We start from the raw sequence: 20,589 nt of genomic DNA on the forward strand, positions 1-20,589 counted from the left end.
AATAATAAATAACTTTTTGAGCACTTAAGACTTAGAATGTAAATCTCTTAGAAGAATGCTTGGTATATAGTAAATTGCTCTAAAATGTTTGCTGTTATTACTGTTAGCAATTAAGACTTTATGCGAGTTCTCCAAACTTTCTAAGATACTAGTTTTTCATCAAAAATTGGAATAAAGGTACATTCTTCATAGGTGTGTTGTATTTTCTAACAGATATAATCTATGTAAAGCAGGGTTTTCCACAAACATACTCATGTAGCGCATTCCCCGTGGTAAGTGATGCATTTATCATACAAATTCCAAACCTTGACCTCATTTCCAAGGTTCTTCAACTCCACCTCATCTCATTAACTTTCCTCCACATTAATCCCTGGGACCTTGTCAACACCAGAAAGAGAGATATGTTTATAGTTTTAGATGACAGCATTCCCACATTCTGACCACAGCTTTCTCTGTCCTGTCATTGCTCTGTCTGGTAAAATTTAATTGTCAATCTTCCTGCCCTCACATCTAAGCAACCAAGTTTTCTTTTTTTTTTTTTTTAATTATACTTTAAGTTCTAGGATACATGTGCAGAACATGCAGGTTTGTTACATAGGTATACACCATGCCATGGTGGTTTCTAAGCAACTAAGTTTTCATGGAATGGGCCATACAATGGCAAACACTGGTGCCACCAAGAGGTCATAATTTCTGACTAATTGGAAGATGGGGCATGTGCAGGCAAGAAGACAGTCATTTCCTCTCCTCTAAGCTCTCAGTCTGGGGCTATAAGTTAACCCAAGGAGACGCAGGCTACCATTTATTATACTCCCAACCCCATATTGCAGGAGCTCTATTCCAGGAAGATATGGCAGAGAAGACTGGTCTTTCTTCTCCCACTCAGCTCCAACTGCTAGGCGGGAAGCTCTATTCCCAGTGGCCACTCTCCTGTCCACTGCCCACTTATACAATGGAGTATCATTCTGGGTTCCTTCTCCCAGCTCCAGTGCAATGATAGTGGGTGGTACAGGGGTTCTGCCTAGGGGTAAAGGTAAGCCATAATGGTTAAGAGCACTGCACTTCTTCCATAGGTTCTAAATTTATTTGGAACAGAGTGAATAATTCTACACCTATGAATGTTGTTGAAAACAGTGGTAATATTGGTGGGGAACAATTGTAAGATAGGTATCTCTGATACAAGCAAGCAAGGTGATAGAGAAACTGAATAGAAAGAACCAAAGAAAGAGACAACCAAAAAGAGTCCTCCTAAGATCACAGTGAAGTCTGTGTACATGTGCTAGGCTGCACCCACTGAAAAGCAATCAGAGCAAAACCTGGGGAAGACGTGAAAACATTCCCTAAGCCACACACTGAAACACTTTATATTTAATAATAGAAATATATTAAAATTAAACTTATGAAAAAAGATATACCATGCAAATGATAACTATAAACTAGTTTAAATAGTGATAGTAATATCAGACAAAAAAGACTTAAAACAAAAAAAATTACTAGAGATTTTGTAGTCAACTCATCAGAAAGTTATAACAATTATAAACACATATGCACCTAACTACAGAACCCTCAAATACATGAAACAAATAAAGAATTTAAGGAAAAAATTGACAAATCAACACTAATAATGTGGGAGAAATCAATACCCCACTTTCAATAAGGATGAGAACAACTGGACAGAAGATCAACAAAAAAGTAGAAGGCTTGAACAACATTATAAACCAAATAGACTAACAAACATTTATAGAACATTCTACCGAACAGTAACAGAATGCACATTCTTCTCGAGGGCATATAAAATATTTTCTAGGGTAGACCATATGTTAGGCCTTAAAACAAGTTTGATAAATTTAAAAGCAATGAAATCATGTAAAGCAGTTGGAATGGAATTAGAATGCAATGGAATTAGAAACCAATAACAGAAGAATTTTGGAAAAATAATAAATATGTGAAAATTAAACATTATACTGTTAAGTAAACAATAGATCAAAGAAGAGACCAGAAGGGAAATTTAAAAATACTTTCAATGAATGAAAATGAAAACATGCCCTACCAACACTATGAAATATAACTAAGGCAGTGCTCAGAGAAAAATTTATAGCTGTAAACACCTATATTTAAAAAGAAGAAATATCTCAAATCAATAACCTAATTTTTCACAATAGAAACTAGAAAAAGGAGAGCTTATTGAACCCAAATCAAGGAAAAAGAAGAAAATTTTAAACACCGGCATGGAACTAAGTGTGATAGAGTATTTTTAAAAAGTTTAGAAAATCAACAAACCAAAAGCTGATATTTTGAAAAGATCAATAAAGTTGATAGATCTTTAGCTAAATTGATTAAGAAAAAAAGAGAGGAGGTTGAAATTACTAAAATCAGAAATGAAAACGGGGGCATCACTATAGAACTTACAGAAACAAAAAGTATTATAAAGAAATACTATGAACAATTTCATGCCAACAAATTAGGTAATTAAATGAAAATGAACTAATTTCTAGAAAGACACAAAATACTGAAACTCAAGAAGAAACAGAAATTCTAACCAGGTCTGTAACAAGTAGAGATTAAATCAGTCATTAAAAATCTTCTCACAAAGAAAAGACCAGGGCCAGATGGCTTCACTCGTGAATTCTACCAAACATTCAAAGAAAAAATAATTATACTTCACAAACTCTTCCAGGAAATAGAAGAGGAGGGATCCCTTTCCAACTTATTATATGATGCCAGTATTACTCTGATACCAAAACCAAAAAGATATCACAAATATAGATGCAAAAATTTCTCAACAAAATACTAAAAAACAGTGTTGGCTTAATATTTAAAATAAATTAACATAGCATGCCATATAATCATCTCAATAGATGCAGAAAAAGCATATCCAAATCCAAAACCTATTTACAATAAAAACAATAAAAAGAAGCTAGCTTTCTCAATATGATAAAGCACACCTACAAAAGCCCCACAATTAACATCTTAGTAGTAAAGTCTAGATACGTTATCTCAATATCAAGAACAATACAGGGTGTCACACTTTTTTTTTTAATACTTTAAGTTCTGGGATACATGCGCAGAAAGTGCAGGTTTGTTATATAGGTATACACGTGTCATGGTGGTTTGCTGCACCCATCATCCCGTCATCTACATTAGATATTTCTCCTAATGCTATCCCTCCACTAGCCCTCCACCCCCCGACAGGCCCCAGTGTGCGATGTTCCCCTCCCTGCGTCCATGTGTTCTCATTGTTCAACTCCCACTTATGAGTGAGAACATGTGGTGTTTGGTTTTCTGTTCCTGTGTTAGTTTGCTGAGAATGATGGTTTCCAGCTTCATCCATGTTCCTGCAAAGGACATGAATTCATCCTTTTTATGGCTGCATAGTATTCCATGGTGCATATGTGCCACATTTTCTTTATCCAGTCTATATTTAATATTGTACTAGAGGTTCTGGCCATGGAAATTATACAAGAATAGAAATACAAGGCTTCCAGATTAGAAGGAAAAAAATACTATCTTCATTTGCAGATGAAATGGTCTTGTATGTAGAAAATCTTTGGGAGCACACAATCACATACACACACACACACATCCCCTATTAGAACTAAAAAAAATGAGTTCAGCATGATGGCAGGATATAAGAGCAATATGTAAAAATCAATTGTATTTCTACACACTTTCAGTAAACATTTTAAGAATGAAATTAAGAAAACAATTCCAGGCCAGGCACGGTGGCTCACGCCTGTAATCCCAGCACTTTGGGAGGCTGAGGTGGGTGGATCATGAGGTCAAGAGATCGAGACCAACCTGGCTAACACGGTGAAACCCCGTCTCTACTAAAAATACAAAAAAAAATAGCCAGGCATGGTGGCGGGCGCCTGTAGTCCCAGCTACTCGGGAGGCTGAGGCAGGAGAATGGTGTGAACCCAGGAGGCAGAGCTTGCAGTGAGCCAAGATCGCACCACTGCACTCCAGCCTGGGCGACAGAGCGAGACTCCGTCTCAAAAAAAAAAAAAAAAAAAAAAAAAAAAAGAAAACAATTCCAGTTATAATAGCATCAAAAACTAATGTAGGTATACACATAACAAAATAAGTTAAGAACTAATACAGTGAAGGCTACAAAAATTGTTGAAACAAATTAGTCATTCTTATAACTAGAAAGATGTTCTATGATCAAAACCTAATATTGTTAAGATATTAGTACTGTCCAAATTGATCAGCAGATTTTATGCAACCATTATTGGAATACAGCTTTTTTTTTTTTTTTTTTTTTTTTTTTTGCAGAAATTGACAAACTAATCTCAAAATTATATGGAACTCAAGTGACCCAGAATAGCCGGAAAAAAAACTTGAAAAAAAGAGAACACAATTGGAGGGTAACATTTCCTGATTTCAAAACTTTACAAAACTATAGTAATCAAGACACTGTGAAAATGACATAAGGATAAACACACAAATCAATGGAATAGAATTTAGAGTCCAAAAACAAACTCTTACATTTATGGCCAGCTGATTTTTGACAAGGGTGCCACGAAAATCCAATGAGGAAAAAAATAGTCTTTTTAACAAATGGTGATGAGATAACTGGATATTTACTAGCGAAAGAATGAAGTTGGACCCGTACTCCCACTATACACAAAAATTAACCCAAAGTGGATCAAAGACCGAAATGTTACAGCTAAAACATGAGAAAACATAGGTGTAAATCCTTATGACTTTGTGTTAGGTAATGATTTCTTAGATACAACACCAAAAGCACAAGCAACAAAAGAAAAAAATAGATAAATGGAATTACATCAACATTAAAATCTTTGTGATGCAAAAGATACCATCAAAAAAATGAGAACATAATCCTACAGAATGGGAGAAAATATTTACAAATAATATATCTGATAATGGATTTGTACCCAGAACATGTTTTTAAAGGTCTTTAAAATTCAATAATAAAAAGACAAACTTATTTTAAAACAGGCAAAAGATTTCAACAGACATTTCTCCAAAGATACATAAATGGCTAATAAGCACATGAAGATACTCAACATCAATAGTTACCACAGATATGCAAATCAAAATCACAATAAAATATAACTTCACATCCACTAGGATGGCTACAATTAAAACGACAGACAATAACAAGTGTTAATTCGGATATGGAGAAATTGGAATTCTTGTTAGATTATAGAAGTAATGAAAAATAATGCAACTACTTTGGAAAACAGTTTAGTAATTCCTCAAAACATTAACCATATGTTTAATAAACATTAAACATTTCATATGATTCAACAATTCCACTCCTAAGTATATACCCAAGATAAATGAAAACATACATGTATACAAAAACTTGTACACAATTATTCATAACATAGCAACATTGTTTATAATAAATAAAAAGTGGAAATAACCTAAATTTCTATCAACTGTTTTTTATTGAAATAAGTCAAAAACTTTATTGACCTATAACCTGATTAGAATATGCCAGATGAGAATCAATATTGTACAGAAAGCTGTACAAAACTTTTTTACATGGAAGACTTTACATCTGTAGCATATACATTTTATCCATCTGAAAAAAATGTCTACATCCACTGTTAATACAGAACGCTTGACAATTTTGTCTTTCAACCATCAGAGCACAATTCAACTGTTGAATGAACAAATAAAATGTGGAAGTGGTATATCCATACCATGGAATAGTACTCACTAATAAAAAGGAATGAAGTACTGAGATGTAGTGCAGTGTAATTGGACCTCAAAAATCTTACATTAAGTCAAAGAAGCCATACACAAAAGGCCACACATTTTAGGATTTCACTTATGTGAAATGTCCAGAATAGACAAAGTAATAAAGACAGAAAGTAGATTACCATTTGTTTAGGGCTCTGGATGAGGGGAAAGGGATTGACTGCTAAAGGGTATGGGATTTCTTTTAAGATGTTGAAAATGTTCTAAAATTAGATTGTTGTGATGGTTGCACAACCTTGTGAATATATTAAAAACACTGAATTGTACACTTTTAAATTGGCAAATTATATATGAATTATATTTCAATTAAACTATTTTTTAAAAAAGAAAATTATGTAATAGCCAACCTAACAAATGCATAGAAATTACAATTCCATTACATAATAATTGAGCAGTTGTAAACAAAAGACAGAGTCTAGGCTCATCAACAAATATTTCTTAGTAAATGCTTTGAGAGGGGTTTGTATTTTTTGATCCCTCCTCACTCCCCATTAAGACACATGTGCATGCAGACTCCTTTTCATTTTCTATAGTTGCCATAAATTACCACAAACGTAGTGGCCTAAAACATAAAGTTATTATCATACGGTCTGCAGATCAGAAGTCTGTAGGCTGGAATCAAGATTGTAAGCAAAGCTGCATTCCTGTCTGAAGCCTCTAGGGTAAAGACTGTTTCCATGCCTTTTACAGCTTCTGAAGACTGCCTACATTCCTTGGCTCATGGTTTCCTTCCTTCATTTAAAAAAATTTTTTTTCAGTAGCTTTTGGGGTACAAGTGGTTTTTGTTACATGAATAAATTGTGTAATGATGAAGTCTGAGATTTTAGAGCACCTGACACTTCAGTAATATACATTGTATCCAATATGTGTTTTTTATATCCCTTAATCCCCATTCTCACTATCCCACTGCTGAGTTTCTGTAGTTCATTATATCATTCTGTATGCCTTTGTGTACCCATAACTTAACTCCCACTTATAAGTGAGAATATACAATATTTGGTTTTCTATTCCTTGGTTATTTCACTTAGAATAATGGCCTCCAGCTCCATTTAAGTTGCTGCAAAAGCATTGCTTTATTCTTTTTCATGGCTGAGTAGTATTCCATGGTGTATATATACCATATTTTCTTTATCTATTCATTGGTCAGTGAGCACTTAGGTTGGTTCCAAATATCTGAAATTGTGAATTGTGCTGCCAAAAACATATGCATGCAGATGTCTTTTTGATATGACTTATTTTCCTTTAGGTGGATACCCAGTAGTGGGACTGCTGGATCAAATGGTAGATCTACTTTTAGCTCTTTAAATCTCCATACTGTTTTCCATAGAGGTTGTACTAATTTACATTCCCATGAGCAGTGCATAAGCATTTCCTTTCCGCCACATCCATGCCAACAACTACAGTTTTTTGACTTTTTAATAATGGTCATGCTTGTAGTAGTCAGGAGGTACCTCACTGTGGTTTTAATTTACATTTCCCTGATGATTAGTGATGGTGAGTATCTTTTCATGTTTTTTGGCCACTTGTATATCTTATTTTTAAAAATGTCTATTCATGTCATTTGCCCACTTTTTGATGGGATCATTTGGTTTTTTTTTTTCTTGCTGATTTGAGTTCCTTATAGATTCTGGATATTAGTCCTTTGTTGGATGCATAGTTTGCAAATATTTTCTCCCACTCTGTGGGTTGTCTGTTTACTCTGATGATTATTTCTTTTTCTGTACGGAATCTTTTAGTTTAATTAAGTCCCATTTATTTATTTTTGGTTTTGTTGCATTTGAATTTGTGGTCTTAGTCATAAATTCTTTGCCTAGGCCAATGTCCAGTCCACTTTCACCACTTCTATTCAACATAGATAGTACTGAAAGTCCCAGCTACAGCAATTAGGCAACAGGAAAAAATAAAGGGCATCCAAATTGGAAAAAAAGAAGTCAAACTGTCACTGCTCACTGATGATATGATTGCATAACTAGAAAGCCCTAAAGACTCCTCCAAAAGACTCCTAGATTTGATAAATACATTCAGTTAAGTAAATTTTACAAAATCAATATACACAAATTGGTAGCACTGCTATACACCAACAATGACTAAGCAGAGAATCAAATCAAGAATTCAATCCCTTTTACAACAGTTAAAGAAAAAAAAAGACCTAAGAATATACTTGACCAAGGAGATGAAAGAGCTCTACAAGGAGAACTACAAAACACTGCTGAAAGAAACCAGAGATTATACAAACAAATGGAGACACATCCCATGCTCATGAACTGGAAGAATCAATATCACAAAAATGACCATACTGCCCAAAGCAATCTTCAGATTCTATGCAATTCCTATCAAAATACTAACATCATTTTTCACAGAAATAAAAAAAAAATCCTAAAATTCATATGGAACCAAAAAAGAGCCTGCATAGCCAAAGAAACACTAAGCAAAAAGAACAAAGCTGGAGACATCATACTAACAGACTTCAAATTATACTACAAGGCTGTAGTTACCAAAACAACATGGTACCAGTATAACAGTAGACAAATAGACCAATGGAACAGAATAGAGAACCCAGAAATAAAGCCAAATACTTAGAACCAACTGATCTTCAACAAAGCATACAAAAACATAAATTAGGGGAAAGACACCCTATTTAATAAATGTTGCTGGGAAAACTGGCTAGCCACATGTAGAAGAATGAAACCAGATCCCTATCTCTCACCTTATACAAAAATCAACTTAAGATGGACCGAAGACTTAAATTGAAGACCCAAAGCCCTGAAACCGCTAGAAGACAACCTAGGGAAAACTCTTCTGGGCATTGGCCTTCCTCCATTTTTGAAGCCAGCAATGTAGAATCTCTCTGACTCTCCTTTCATCATCACATGGTCTCTAAACACAGGCAGGAAAGGTTCTCTGCTTTTAAGGATTTGTGTGATTAGATTAGTTCCACCCAGACACTCCAAAGTAATCCTCCCACCCCAAGGTCCTTAATTTAATTGCATGTGCAAAGTTCTTTTTGCCATGTATCTTAACAGATTCACAGATTATAAGGATCAGGGTATGGTTATCTTTGTAGAGGACTATTATCTTGCCTACCATATTGCCAATTGCAGCTCTGTGCTTTTGGAAATTGTTTGGCTGAGCTCCAAAATTTTGGAATAACTTCATAAATGCAATTGACTATCAAAAGGCTGTGGATGCAATATGAAAGGGAAGAGCTTAAAAGAGCACGTTGGAGCCAAATAGTTGTCTCCGAGTACTTCACTTACAAGAGTTAATCAATCCCAGCACTTTGGGAGGCCGAGGTGGGTGGATCACCTGAGGTCAGGAGTTCGAGACCAGCCTAGCCAACATGGTTAAACCCTGTCTCTACTAAAAATACAAAAAAAAAGAAAAATTAGCTGGGCATGGTCACAGGCACCTGTAATCCCAGCTACTGAGGAGGCTGAAGCAGGAGAATCACTTGAACCTGGCAGGTGGAGTTTGCAATGAGCCAAGATCGTGCCATTGCACTCTAGCCTGGGCAACAAGAATGAAACTCCATCTCAAAAAAAAAAAAAAAAAAAAAGTTAATCAAACATTCTCTTAGGAGTTAATTAAAAACTCCACTCCAGGTTGGTACAAAACACTATAAAATCATTGTATCCCCACCCAAATCTCATGTTGAATTGTGAGTGTTGGAGGTGCGGCCTGGTGGGAGGTGATTAGATCATGGGAAGTGGATTTTTCCCTTGCAGTTATTCTCATAATGGGTGAGCTCTCACAAGATCTGATTGTTTAAAAGTGTGTAACACTTCTCCCTTCACTCTTTCTCTCTCTCTCTCTCTCTCCTGCTACTACATGAAGACATGCTTGCTTCCCCTTTGTCCTTCCACTGATTGTAAGTTTTCTGAGGCCTTCCAGTCATGCCTCCTGTCCAGTCTGCAGAACTGTGAGTCAAGTAAACCTCTTTTCTTCATAAATTACCCAGTCTCAAATAGTTCTTTAAAGCAGTTAAGAACAGACTAGTTCAATCATCTTATCCTAGAATTGGTCTCTGAATTTGCAGGAATTCCCAGGGCACAAATAACCCAAAACAGGCTTCTGGAACTAGATGTGATATAACTCAATGACTTAAAATTTTCTTCTTACTTGAACATGGGAGTTATGCTGATTTTTCCCATGAGTACAGTTGACAGTGATTAGTTATTCCTACATCAGTGCCCTTTATGTGTCATCTGAGTCTTCTTGTGAGTGAGGCATCTATCAGATAAAATTTTATTGATCCCTAAATTATGCTCTTTACATTTTAGCATTTTGTTGTACACGTTGGATCTAAGAAGTAGCCAAGGACACTAAAAACACAATGTAAGGAAAGAGCTCCGTGAAGTAGCAACAACAGAATTACTTTCCATTATTTTTGGAGATTATTCTTTTTTCAACACACTTCAGTCATTTTTGGTCAACATTTCCTCATATTATTTAAAAGAATGAACCATAACTTCATAAAAGACAAGTTAGAAATTCACGAAACAATTCCTTTTTAAAAGATCAAGAGTGTGATGTTTAGTAGACATACACGGCCATTCTCTTTCCATCAGCAATTTTTTTCCTCCATAGCCAAGGCTTGAACATTTCGTCTCTGCTCCCGTCTATTCCATGATTATAACTTTTCATCATTCGTTGTAATTCAGTGCCATTCTTGGTAAGCAAACATACACATCCTAAAAAGTTCACAAACACTGTAAATTACTGTTTGATTGGTTGAGTGCATTAATGTTCTACTTTACATTACCTCTATTTTCCATTAAAATGAAGTAAAGCAAAGTTTACCCTGTCATAGAACACCTACTCTGTAAGTAAAAGCTAGGAAATGGCAATGAGCAAGGCATAGTTAGTAGATATAAAATGATTAGAGCAGAGATTTCATATAAAGGCTAGAGGCAATAATGTTCTAAAGGGAAATTTAGGCCTTATTATAAAGAGTCTTGATTGCCAGGGTCAGAAATATGAGTGTATTTTGTAATCAGTGGTTCATTAGAATTACCTTTTTGAGATCTTAATAAACATGAGTATTGGCAGGGCTGATAATTAGATAGTATTTAGGACCATTCTGGTTTTTGCAGCCATAGTCCATGCTGATTGGTCAGGAAAGCAGTTTTGATTGGTTAGTGTTTTTGTCATATCACTGGTAAAATTCTTTGGATATCACCCCTGAATGTCTGGGTCCTATGTCCAGAGAGTCTACTTCCTATGTCTAGATGAGGCTTGGGCACAGTATTCTCTACAATCTCTCCATGTGGTACTAATGCAAAGTGAGGAAAGGGAAGCACTATTACAGAAGAGTGAAAGCTCGGAAAGGCTTTCCAGTATAAGTAACAGGATGAATATGTCTTTTTATTTTTTATTTTTATTTTTTTTTTAGACGGAGTCTCGCTCTGTCGCCCAGGCTGGAGTGCAGTGGCGTGATCTCGGCTCACTGCAAGCTCCGCCTCCCGGGTTCATGCCATTCTCCTGCCTCAGCCTCCCGGTAGCTGGGGCTACAGAGAAATAATTAATCTGGAATATATTGAAGGCACGAAGAAATTGAGATAGGAAAGTTATTCATTTATTGATTCAACAAGTAATTACTATGTGCATTTCTGGGTATTGAACTGCAGTGCCAGTCCAGTTGAAGAGATGGAAAAGGAAGTGCCAGAAGGAAAAATGGACTTTGCAGATATCAAGATGATCAAACAGACAATACTATAGGACCAAATGAATATGCAGTCAGGAAAGGAGAGGAGTCAAAGGAGACTGAACTTCCTAATGAACGGGAGGAATAGTGTTAAGAAAATTAAGAGACAGAGACAATTTCAGAGACATGATGAATTCAGTTAAAAATACATCCAACTTGAGGTATAGGTAGGTTGCCCAAGAAGAAATGTCTAGTAGGGTTTTAGAGAAGAGCTGGTTAGAATTTTGAAGGCTGAAGTAAATATTATAGCATCATCTGTGCAGAAATAGTGAAAGCACTACAGTGACTGAGATGAAATCTAAGGCATTATATAGAAAATACAGTGGAGGACTGAGAACTAAGATTTATTAAAGGAGTGAAGGAAGACACAAGAGGAGAACCTAGATAGGGTAGAGTCAGGAAAATTAAGAGATTGTCACATATTGAGAAAAGTCAGCAAAAATTCAACTGAAGAGACCATTGTCTATTCCTATAAGGAGCCTCAGATCTATTTCAAAACACATAGAGTTGCATCAGAAGTCAAGCAGCCACATGTGATCTATACTTAATATTAAATATACAAATATAGTCACTAAAGGTTAGTTTTTTATTATATAACCTTGCTGGTATCAAAACTATACTGACAATACTTCAGTTCCTCTTGGATAAATATGCACTGAGAAATTGGCAAGTTAGTCAAACAAATATTGGACAACAAATAAAATTTGGATAAAGTTGATAAAAATTTGGCATAATTGGCATAAACTATGAACAGCCAGGAAATAAGAGTACACACCAAGTATCAAAATTGAAGAAATAACATCACTGTTGTTTAACAAAGACTAAGAGCCTACCACATGTCTAAAATGCTGAGTTTCCAATGGGAAAAGAGTTTTTTAATAGCCATTACTTACAGAAATTGGTGAACAATCTACTTGCCAATGAAATTTTTAACTCCACCTAGATGAACAAATCTAGAGACTTAACTACTCTAGATAATCCTTTTTTTTTTTTCACCGTAATCCACAGTGTGGTAGATATAGGTGCACTGGACACACAGAATCCCACAATGAGTTAAGACAGATTAGTTCCAGAAGATAGAGATTTGAGCACTAGTTCTGACTTAATTCATTGTGATATTATTTGTGTCCAGTTTCCTCACTTTCAAATATATTTTAAATATGTGAAACAAATTGTAAAATATTTCAGAGGAAGAACCATTTTTTTCTTCAGCTTCAGCCCATCAGAATCTACCTTGGCTTTGGTAGTTAGTTTTAGTTTCTTATTCATGATATTTTCAGCCTTTTATTGATCTTTTCTTAAACCTCTTATTTTTAGTTACTGTGACTACTGCAGACAGGATTGAAGGAGAGGACATTAATTGAATTTATTAAAGTCTATTCAATAGAATTTATTGAACACTTACTTTAAGCTCAGCTCCACACGAGATATAAGATAAATCTCTGCTCTTGTGCTTGATAAGCTAACCATCTATTTGGGGGAAATAAGACTAATATGAAAGCAAATATTAATTTGCAACACAAATTGGTATATAATTAAGGACCAAAAAATGGCAGATCAATAGGAGATACAGTTCATGAAAACATGAGTAAGTCCAAAGCATTTGAGAAAGGCATCACAGAGAATTCCATCTTGATTTTGAAAGACTGAGTAGGTTTTGAATAGATAGAAGAAGGAAAGGCATACCAGAAAAGGAGAACTAAATAAGCAAATGTATAGAGGCTGGAAAGTTCTGGGAGAATTCTGAACAGATCCTTCTTCTGGAAGGACAATCTAGTCTTTCTGCTTCAGTGATTTTCATTCTGGCTAGCTTTCTGGTTTCTGACTACTTCCATTTCTAACCTTGCAAAGAATTTTAAGTAGACAGAAAACCATGAGTAGAGAGAGAAAGGAAGGAACATAATGCACTGTAGTACAGTGGGACATCCCTTACTCAAGCATTTATATGTGCTTATTCTCACTAAGTTTTAGGCCAGTTTAAGAACATTCACATATTAACTTAGTTAATCTTCATAACAATCATGTAATAGAGGCAATATTTTAATCTGCATTTTACAAGGAGAAGACAAAGGCACACAGAGGTTAAGTGACTTGTGCAAGGTGATACAACTTGGTAAATGATGGAGGTGGAATTTGAGCCCAGATAATCTGGCTTCAGAGCCCTGACTCTCATGCAGAACTGGATGTGTAGGATTGGTTATTTTAGAGAGAGCTTTGAAACACAAATGTAGAAGTTGGTATTTTACTCTAAGAGCAGATGGAAATCCTTGAAGGTTTTGACATTCTAATAACCATGATAAAATTAACCTGGCACGGGTGTGTAGGATTTACTAGCGGGGAAACTGCTACTATATTCTCTCTTTCTAAATTGCACTTCCAAGTGTCCTATGTAGTTGGCAGACATGGATCTGACCCACAATTCTAGTTTAACTGAGGTTCTGACTTTAGAATGGTAGTTGTCTCCTTGTGCCAGTGTTTTAAGTTAAACCATGGAAACATAAAACAAGTGCAAGGTGGTGATTATTCTAGTTTACTTTTTTCTGTGTGGCTTAAAACACCCACACTAAAGCTACTTCTAGGGGAATCTTGCTGTTTGCCTGCCTGCCTGCCCTCTTCTCGGCTTACACAAAGCCTTATTTTTTTCCCCAGCTGCCATTGCCTTTTCAAGCTGAGCATGAATGCCACCCATTCATGAGGCAACGTGGACAACTGATCAGAAAAGGTCCCGGTGCTTCCAATTAAAAATTGTTCAATAGCGTAAAAATTCAGGCACTCCAAGACTAAAATCAAATCCCTGGTGGGTTGTTGATAGACTTGTTATTAAAGGTTTGCCAAGGCTTAATAAGACTGATAACAAGAAACTGCAAATCTCTTCAAACTATTCTGTAAACATTTGGATAGGGCTGAAATTAAGAATACGAAGAATATGCATTTCACTGATCTGTTTTTCTTAGCTGGCTTTCATGTTACAAAATCAGCAACATATGTCGGCAGATCCAATTGACCTTCAAGCTGGAGTTTGAATATCTTAGGTGTATGTCACCTCATCTCTGGCTTTGATCTGCTGTAAGAAAGAGAAATATAATTATTAACACATTGTTCTGTGCAGCTGACAGAGCATCTGGTATTTTAGAAATGCTTTTGAGATGCCTTAATTGATTTGAAAGTTGGTTGTAAGTGAGCTTGGAAAAGATGCAACACCTTTGCAGCATTAGTAATTAAGAGAAATCAGAAGTAGGTTTTATCTGCGTTAAGTTGTAGCTGAAAATGAAATATCTAAGGATAATTAAGAAAAAAATTAATTTAAAAAATGATAGCAATAAGGCTCCCCATGAATGATTAGTCAACTCTCCTCCTGATATAGACAACTTAATTACATTTCCTTATTGCAGCGTCACCATCCACCTGACTATGGTGACTGAATTTCCATCATGGACTATTATGCTTGAGTTTCCATTATAAACAGTAATTTTTTTAGGCTTAGAATTTCAGTCATTTCATGTTGATTCAGATTTTAACTCAGCATATGAGCTGTTCATCCAGCTGCCATTATGAAAAAAAAAAGAACATTTTAAGTCTTTCAAGACAGTAATGAATAAAAAATAAAGGTGTACAATTTTCATGTTTCTTTCCTCAATCTCTAGTCTAAAAGAAGTGTGCAAAAGAGTCTGAAAATGTTTCAATACTGGTTTTGATCCAAATGAATGAAAAGTATCGCTCTATTCATTTGAATGAGGAACACTGTCATAACAAATATTTGAAAGGAGATAGGAAGTGTAAGGCCCTTTCAAAAAAGAAGATAAAAACACTTCTAAATACAGTAAGAAATGCTGGGTATGATTTATTTTCCAAAACAGGAATAGTTCCCAATATAATTCTCATTTTATTAATCATTTCCTTGGGCAACTTTGCATTCATTTCTAGAAATTTTAGGAGTAAATTTCAAAAATTCCCACCAAATTGAAAATACTGGAATCTCATATATGTTTCATTGCTTATGTAATCTTTTTCATTGGTAATGTACTTGAGGCACATTTCTGATCTGGTTATTCTTAAGAACTATTTATTTTCTATTATGAAAGCAATGTCACTATCACAGTACTGTTGATCTTGCTTTGTAAGGAATTTACACATTTGTGGCTCAGAAGGAACTATACAGTTGGTCAGCTGTTTGTTGTATATTCATGTATTATCCAAATGATGACATAATGAGGTAATCACTTGATTGTTCTGTGGCCATTGCCTGCCTTCCTTTGTGTGACTGATTTTTTTTAAGAAGTACAAAGTAATAGTCAAAGTGATTTTCTTCTTTCAAGAAAACTTTAGTTTGTAAACTTGCGAAGATTTTTAAAACTGGAAAATCCTCTGGTGTTGACTTAGGTACGCTACATTTTTATGCTGTGAATATATGTATCACTTAAAATATACCCCTTTAAACACGGGAATATTATTAGTCTCATGAAGGCAAACAACACTCAGCAACAATCCTTGAACTATAAAATTTAAAAGTATAAAAACTGAAAAAATTACCTGAAACTAAGGAGTAAATTCTGGTTCCAAATATAACTGTCAGGAAATGTGAAGTGTAGCTTTTGAGAACTCAAAAGATGAAAATCAAGCTAATCTGAAAACATTTGTTGCATTCTATAATATCAAATGAATTGACACATATTCACTAAAAATTCCCCAAATAAAAAATTCAGTTAATCTTTGGAGGGAGAGATTTCTCACCTACTTACCTACCCACCCACCACACTGTTGGTATTTATGCACACATACACACAAATAAGGGTAGTGAAAAAGGATCAGATCAAAATTATGTGAAGTAGCCCGTATAGAATCAGTGATCATCTATACTCAATCTTTGTGAAGTAGATATTTGGAGAGAGTGAGAGAAAGTGACTGGAGGTGGACTCTGCTCTCTAAAAGTCACAATTTTAAAACTCATTAAATAAAGCTCAGAATACTGTACAAGACTGGTATATATTGCAAATGTTCTTTGGTACTCTTATCCTATGTGATAGCAAATAGCCATGCTTCTCATAGACCGTGACTATCTCTTTCATTCAACCACATTCATTGAGTACTTACTCTTTTTAAAAGACCAGATATGTACAGATGTATAAAAGAGGCTCTTTAACCTCATGTCACTTGGAGTCCAAAAACTGGTTAGGATGAAAGGAGAGGTTTTTCAAAGGCAAAATTCCCCTGACACTTAGAGGTGGAGGTTCTTTAACCTGAATGATATATAATTCATAGTTTCTCCCACGGGGAAAAAAATAAACAGCAAATAAGGAAAAACTTTTTGAAATATTGTGGCACCTTTATCACTATTAAACATGTGATAATTCTAGAATAATCTGATACAGAGGTGGAAATTAAGCTTGCTGACATTTGTCTAAAAGAATTGCCTGAATGAAGGTGGGGAAGGTAAAGGAAATGATAAATCTGATGAAAAAGTAATAGACTCTATTCTTCAACCAAATGTGAATCATTTATCTGTCACACACTTTTTTCAAGTAAACCTCCTAATTAGCATGAATAATTAGAAACAGGATTTGCATATTTTCTTTCAAAGAACAAATTGTGGCTTACCATCTTGATATCCCAACAAAGTATATCTAACCTAACTATTAAAATATTGTGAAGATTTCTATAAATAAAAACATTTACTACGGTCAGATTTTCAAAGTCAAAATAAAGTGACTGTCTAGTGTGTTTGAGGATATTTGGAGGGTTCTATTTGGCTGCCTACAATTCAATTCAGTATAAATTTGCTAAGAATTTTGGACTCATAAAACACAAAAAAATGCTAAAATCATTCTTCCCTAACAATTATTTGCCAGGTTTATACAGATGACTTCCTCAACTTTCCTTTGCACCAGTTTTTCATAAATATGGTGATCATCCTCTAATTCCAGTATTCACATAAGTTGTTCTCTTTGCATATATCACATTTCAATATTAAAATTCAACTGTTTATTAAAGAAAGAGCAACCAAGCCAGGTGCAGTGGCTCACACCTGTAATCCCAGCACTCTGGGAGGCTGAGGTGGGTGGATCACCTGAGGTCAGAGGTTCAAGACTAGCCTGACCAACATGGTGAAACCCTGTCTCTACTAAAAATACAAAAATTAGCTGGGTGTGGTGGTGCACACCTGTAATCCCAGCTACTTGGGAGGCTGAGGCATGAGAATCTCTTGAACCTAGGTGGCAGAGGTTGCAGTGAGCTGTGATCACGCCATTGCACTCCAGCCTGGGTGACAGATTGAGACTCTTTCAAAAAAAGAAAGAAAGAAAGAGCAAATTTCAGAAAGTGATTTAAAAATAAATGATTGACCGCCCCCCCCACCCCCACACACACACTACATTAATATTTGGTATACGTTATATTGCTTGAAAGAAGATAATATGATATTTTTTATTTTCCCTCTATTTTAATGACAGTTTCTTTCTGCTCTCTTTAGGGAAGAGAAAAACTCAAGTTATTTCTCTACAGAAGAAACCTAAATGGTAAGTGTGATACTGAACTGATAAACTGAAGTTGCCAAAGTGGTTAGTAAATGAAAGGAAGGAGAAGCAAAGGAAAGTCTTAGCTTCTAACTCTGTTCCATGCTAAACTAGCATACTCACCTATCAGCACACCAGATATAAGCCAAACCTTTGAGGTGAGATATAATTCCCTTCATGATCTCAGATGAGGAAGCTGAGATTCAAAAAGATCAAAATCTGGCCAAAGACACATGGCTAAAAGGAGGATTAAAACCCTGAATAAACCTTGACTAGAATCCACCAAACCATAGTCTGAAGGAAACTGATTCTGAATCAGAGAGTTTGGAAATTAAAGTTGAATAACCATCATAAAAAGATGCAATTTTGGTTTCAACAAAGACATTTGGCTGAAGACAGCAAACAACCAAGGGTCTGCTCAAGAATCTTTGAAGTTAATTTCTAGAAAAAAACAAAAAACAAACAAACAAAAAAAAAACAGAGTCTTATACATATTTTGCCATTCATGGTTTTCCCATTTCTGCCATACATCAACTGTGAATATAGGAATGGTTTCAAAGCCTACCTCAAAGTGGTCCTAATTTAAAGATAGATTGATTGGTCTGGCTCCTTGGCTTATTTACAGGGTTCTACTGTTATCTGATGAAGTCAGGTTCACTAAAGATTTGTGAAAAATGAACTGCTTTTACAGTGCGAATCCCTTACCTCACCTTTCTCCACCCCAAATCCAAAGGTTTCTTTGGGTCTGTCTCCAGGTAGCCTACATATACCTGAACCATAAACTCCCACCAGTTCTATCTCTGGGAACCAACATCAACAAGGAAGTATCACTAGATTGTCTAGAAAATTCTGTAGAAAAAGAGGGCCAGAGAAAGGAGCTGACTAGGTCTTTATCATAAAACATTCTAGTGAGGATAATAAATGACAGACATATACTTGGGATCAAGGTTAGAGTTATCTAGCTGGCTTAAAGGCTCTGGGTTTTATTTAATGCAGGAAAACATCAACATTTCCCAAGAGGAGAGGCATTTATTTTAAGTGTTATTCAGGTGTATTTTTGCAAAATTCCCCTTTCTATGGTGCAACTATCATATACATATTTAAATAACAGACTGTTAACCTTTTAAACTTGTGTGGTCCTTTTACATATAGGTGAAGTAATTACAAAGTTACAAATAATATTATCATGTATCTGTCGAGTTTATGTGGGTTTCCCTCGAAGAAGGAAAGATTCCATTTATTAATCTGGAATCAATCCCCTTCTTTCTACTCAGGGTTTGTGGTAATGCCCAGTGATGAATGTCATAGCTGGCATCTTAGATAAAATGTTCTTTCTGAACAACACCCAAATATGCTTAAAATTGCAGATGACAGTTGTAAGCCTTTTTGCCTGCTTATCTGTCTGCCTTCGATGTGACCCTAAATTAGGCATCAGAAGGTGTAGAGTTTAATACAGATTCCGGGCACAATATACCTTCTCACAATTAGTTGAAAGTGCTGTTTTGTAATTAAAGGGTGAAGTGGGGCATGATGAACATATGGAAAAGGAGACCCTTAATAAGTGATGGAGCCTTCAAAAGAAATTGCTAATTAGTATGCATTTGATGTGCACTATACCAATTTTAAGACTTTGCCTTGAATAAATTGCTATGTTGGGTGTTCGAAGGAGTGGTGAGATTAGCATTTACAAAGGGGGCAATTTTCTGTCTTCTTGACTCTGTTAAATGGAGGAAATAACTTCCAAGACTGGAGCAGTAGTTAGCCCATCAATCATTCTCACAGCTGGAAACTGGGGATCCCAAATGCAGAGATCAGTTAATCCGTCAGCTAATAAGTTCATAGTGGCACCATATGGCGCAGGGCCACTCCACACTGGGACAAGGACAGAACTGTTTACACAGGCATGCTGCTTTCTCAGGTAGCTCCCTGCTGACAGAATCCTTTGTTCTGAAGGATCAATTTACTTTGCACAGTAAATTGACTGAATTGATCAGTTCAGAGCATATAATTGTTGGCTAATCCTGTGGAATCATGTCCCATCCATGTGAGAGGGACAAAAGGGTGCTGCCCATGGCCTGGTCTGGGGCTCCATCCTGGGGCTATTCTCGTCGGATAGGTTGGACACTGATTAAAGGACCAGTGGACAGTAGATGTGTTGTCAGCATTGACTTCAAACGCTAAAGGGAAGAGAAACCTTGCAATGCCCAGAAGGGTTTTCTGGGTGTCTTTACTCAACTGGTATCATGACTTAACTTGGAATAGAAACAGTCAGTCAAGGCAATTTAGGTGCAAATTCTTTTCAAATACATGCCTGGAAGAATGAAAAGTACTGCTCCATCTCCAAATCTAACAAGTTATTCCACTAATGCTTATTTCGAAACTTACCTTCTATTTCTTTTCAAAAAAAGGAAAGGAAGACAAAAAAAAGTTTAAGAGATATGTTCAGAAAAGTGTGGAAACTGCAATTTAAGTGAGAAACACATTTCTTAGGCATGTGCAAAAGTGGCTGAGGTATCCACTGTCATGCCTGTGTATGGGGTATGGGAAAATGCATCAGGGCTTTTGAGAGCAAATTAGAGCAAAGTCTTCTCATCCCTGCACATTAGTGTGAACCCTTGTGCTTTGTTCCATAGATGTGTTTGA

General features: G+C 35.6%; 1 long non-coding RNA gene across 1 annotated transcript, besides 1 other annotated feature; it reads right to left on the bottom strand.

Moving 5' to 3' along the window:
* Positions 1 to 9,948: 9,948 nt before the first annotated feature.
* On the bottom strand, positions 9,949 to 14,774 carry LOC124901023 (uncharacterized). Its single transcript, XR_007058862.1, has 2 exons — positions 12,843 to 14,774; positions 9,949 to 10,424 (listed from the first exon to the last, which is right to left on the bottom strand). It is a non-coding gene; the product is annotated as an uncharacterized LOC124901023 (long non-coding RNA).
* Positions 19,219 to 20,238: an enhancer, noted in NCBI's record as "VISTA enhancer hs266". NCBI's record gives its function as "enhancer in: forebrain[9/10]" and the evidence as "EXISTENCE:transgenic organism evidence [ECO:0001131][PMID:17130149]".

The sequence above is a fragment of the Homo sapiens genome, chromosome 5, assembly GCF_000001405.40.
Source record: "Homo sapiens chromosome 5, GRCh38.p14 Primary Assembly".
Taxonomy (NCBI): domain Eukaryota; kingdom Metazoa; phylum Chordata; class Mammalia; order Primates; family Hominidae; genus Homo; species Homo sapiens.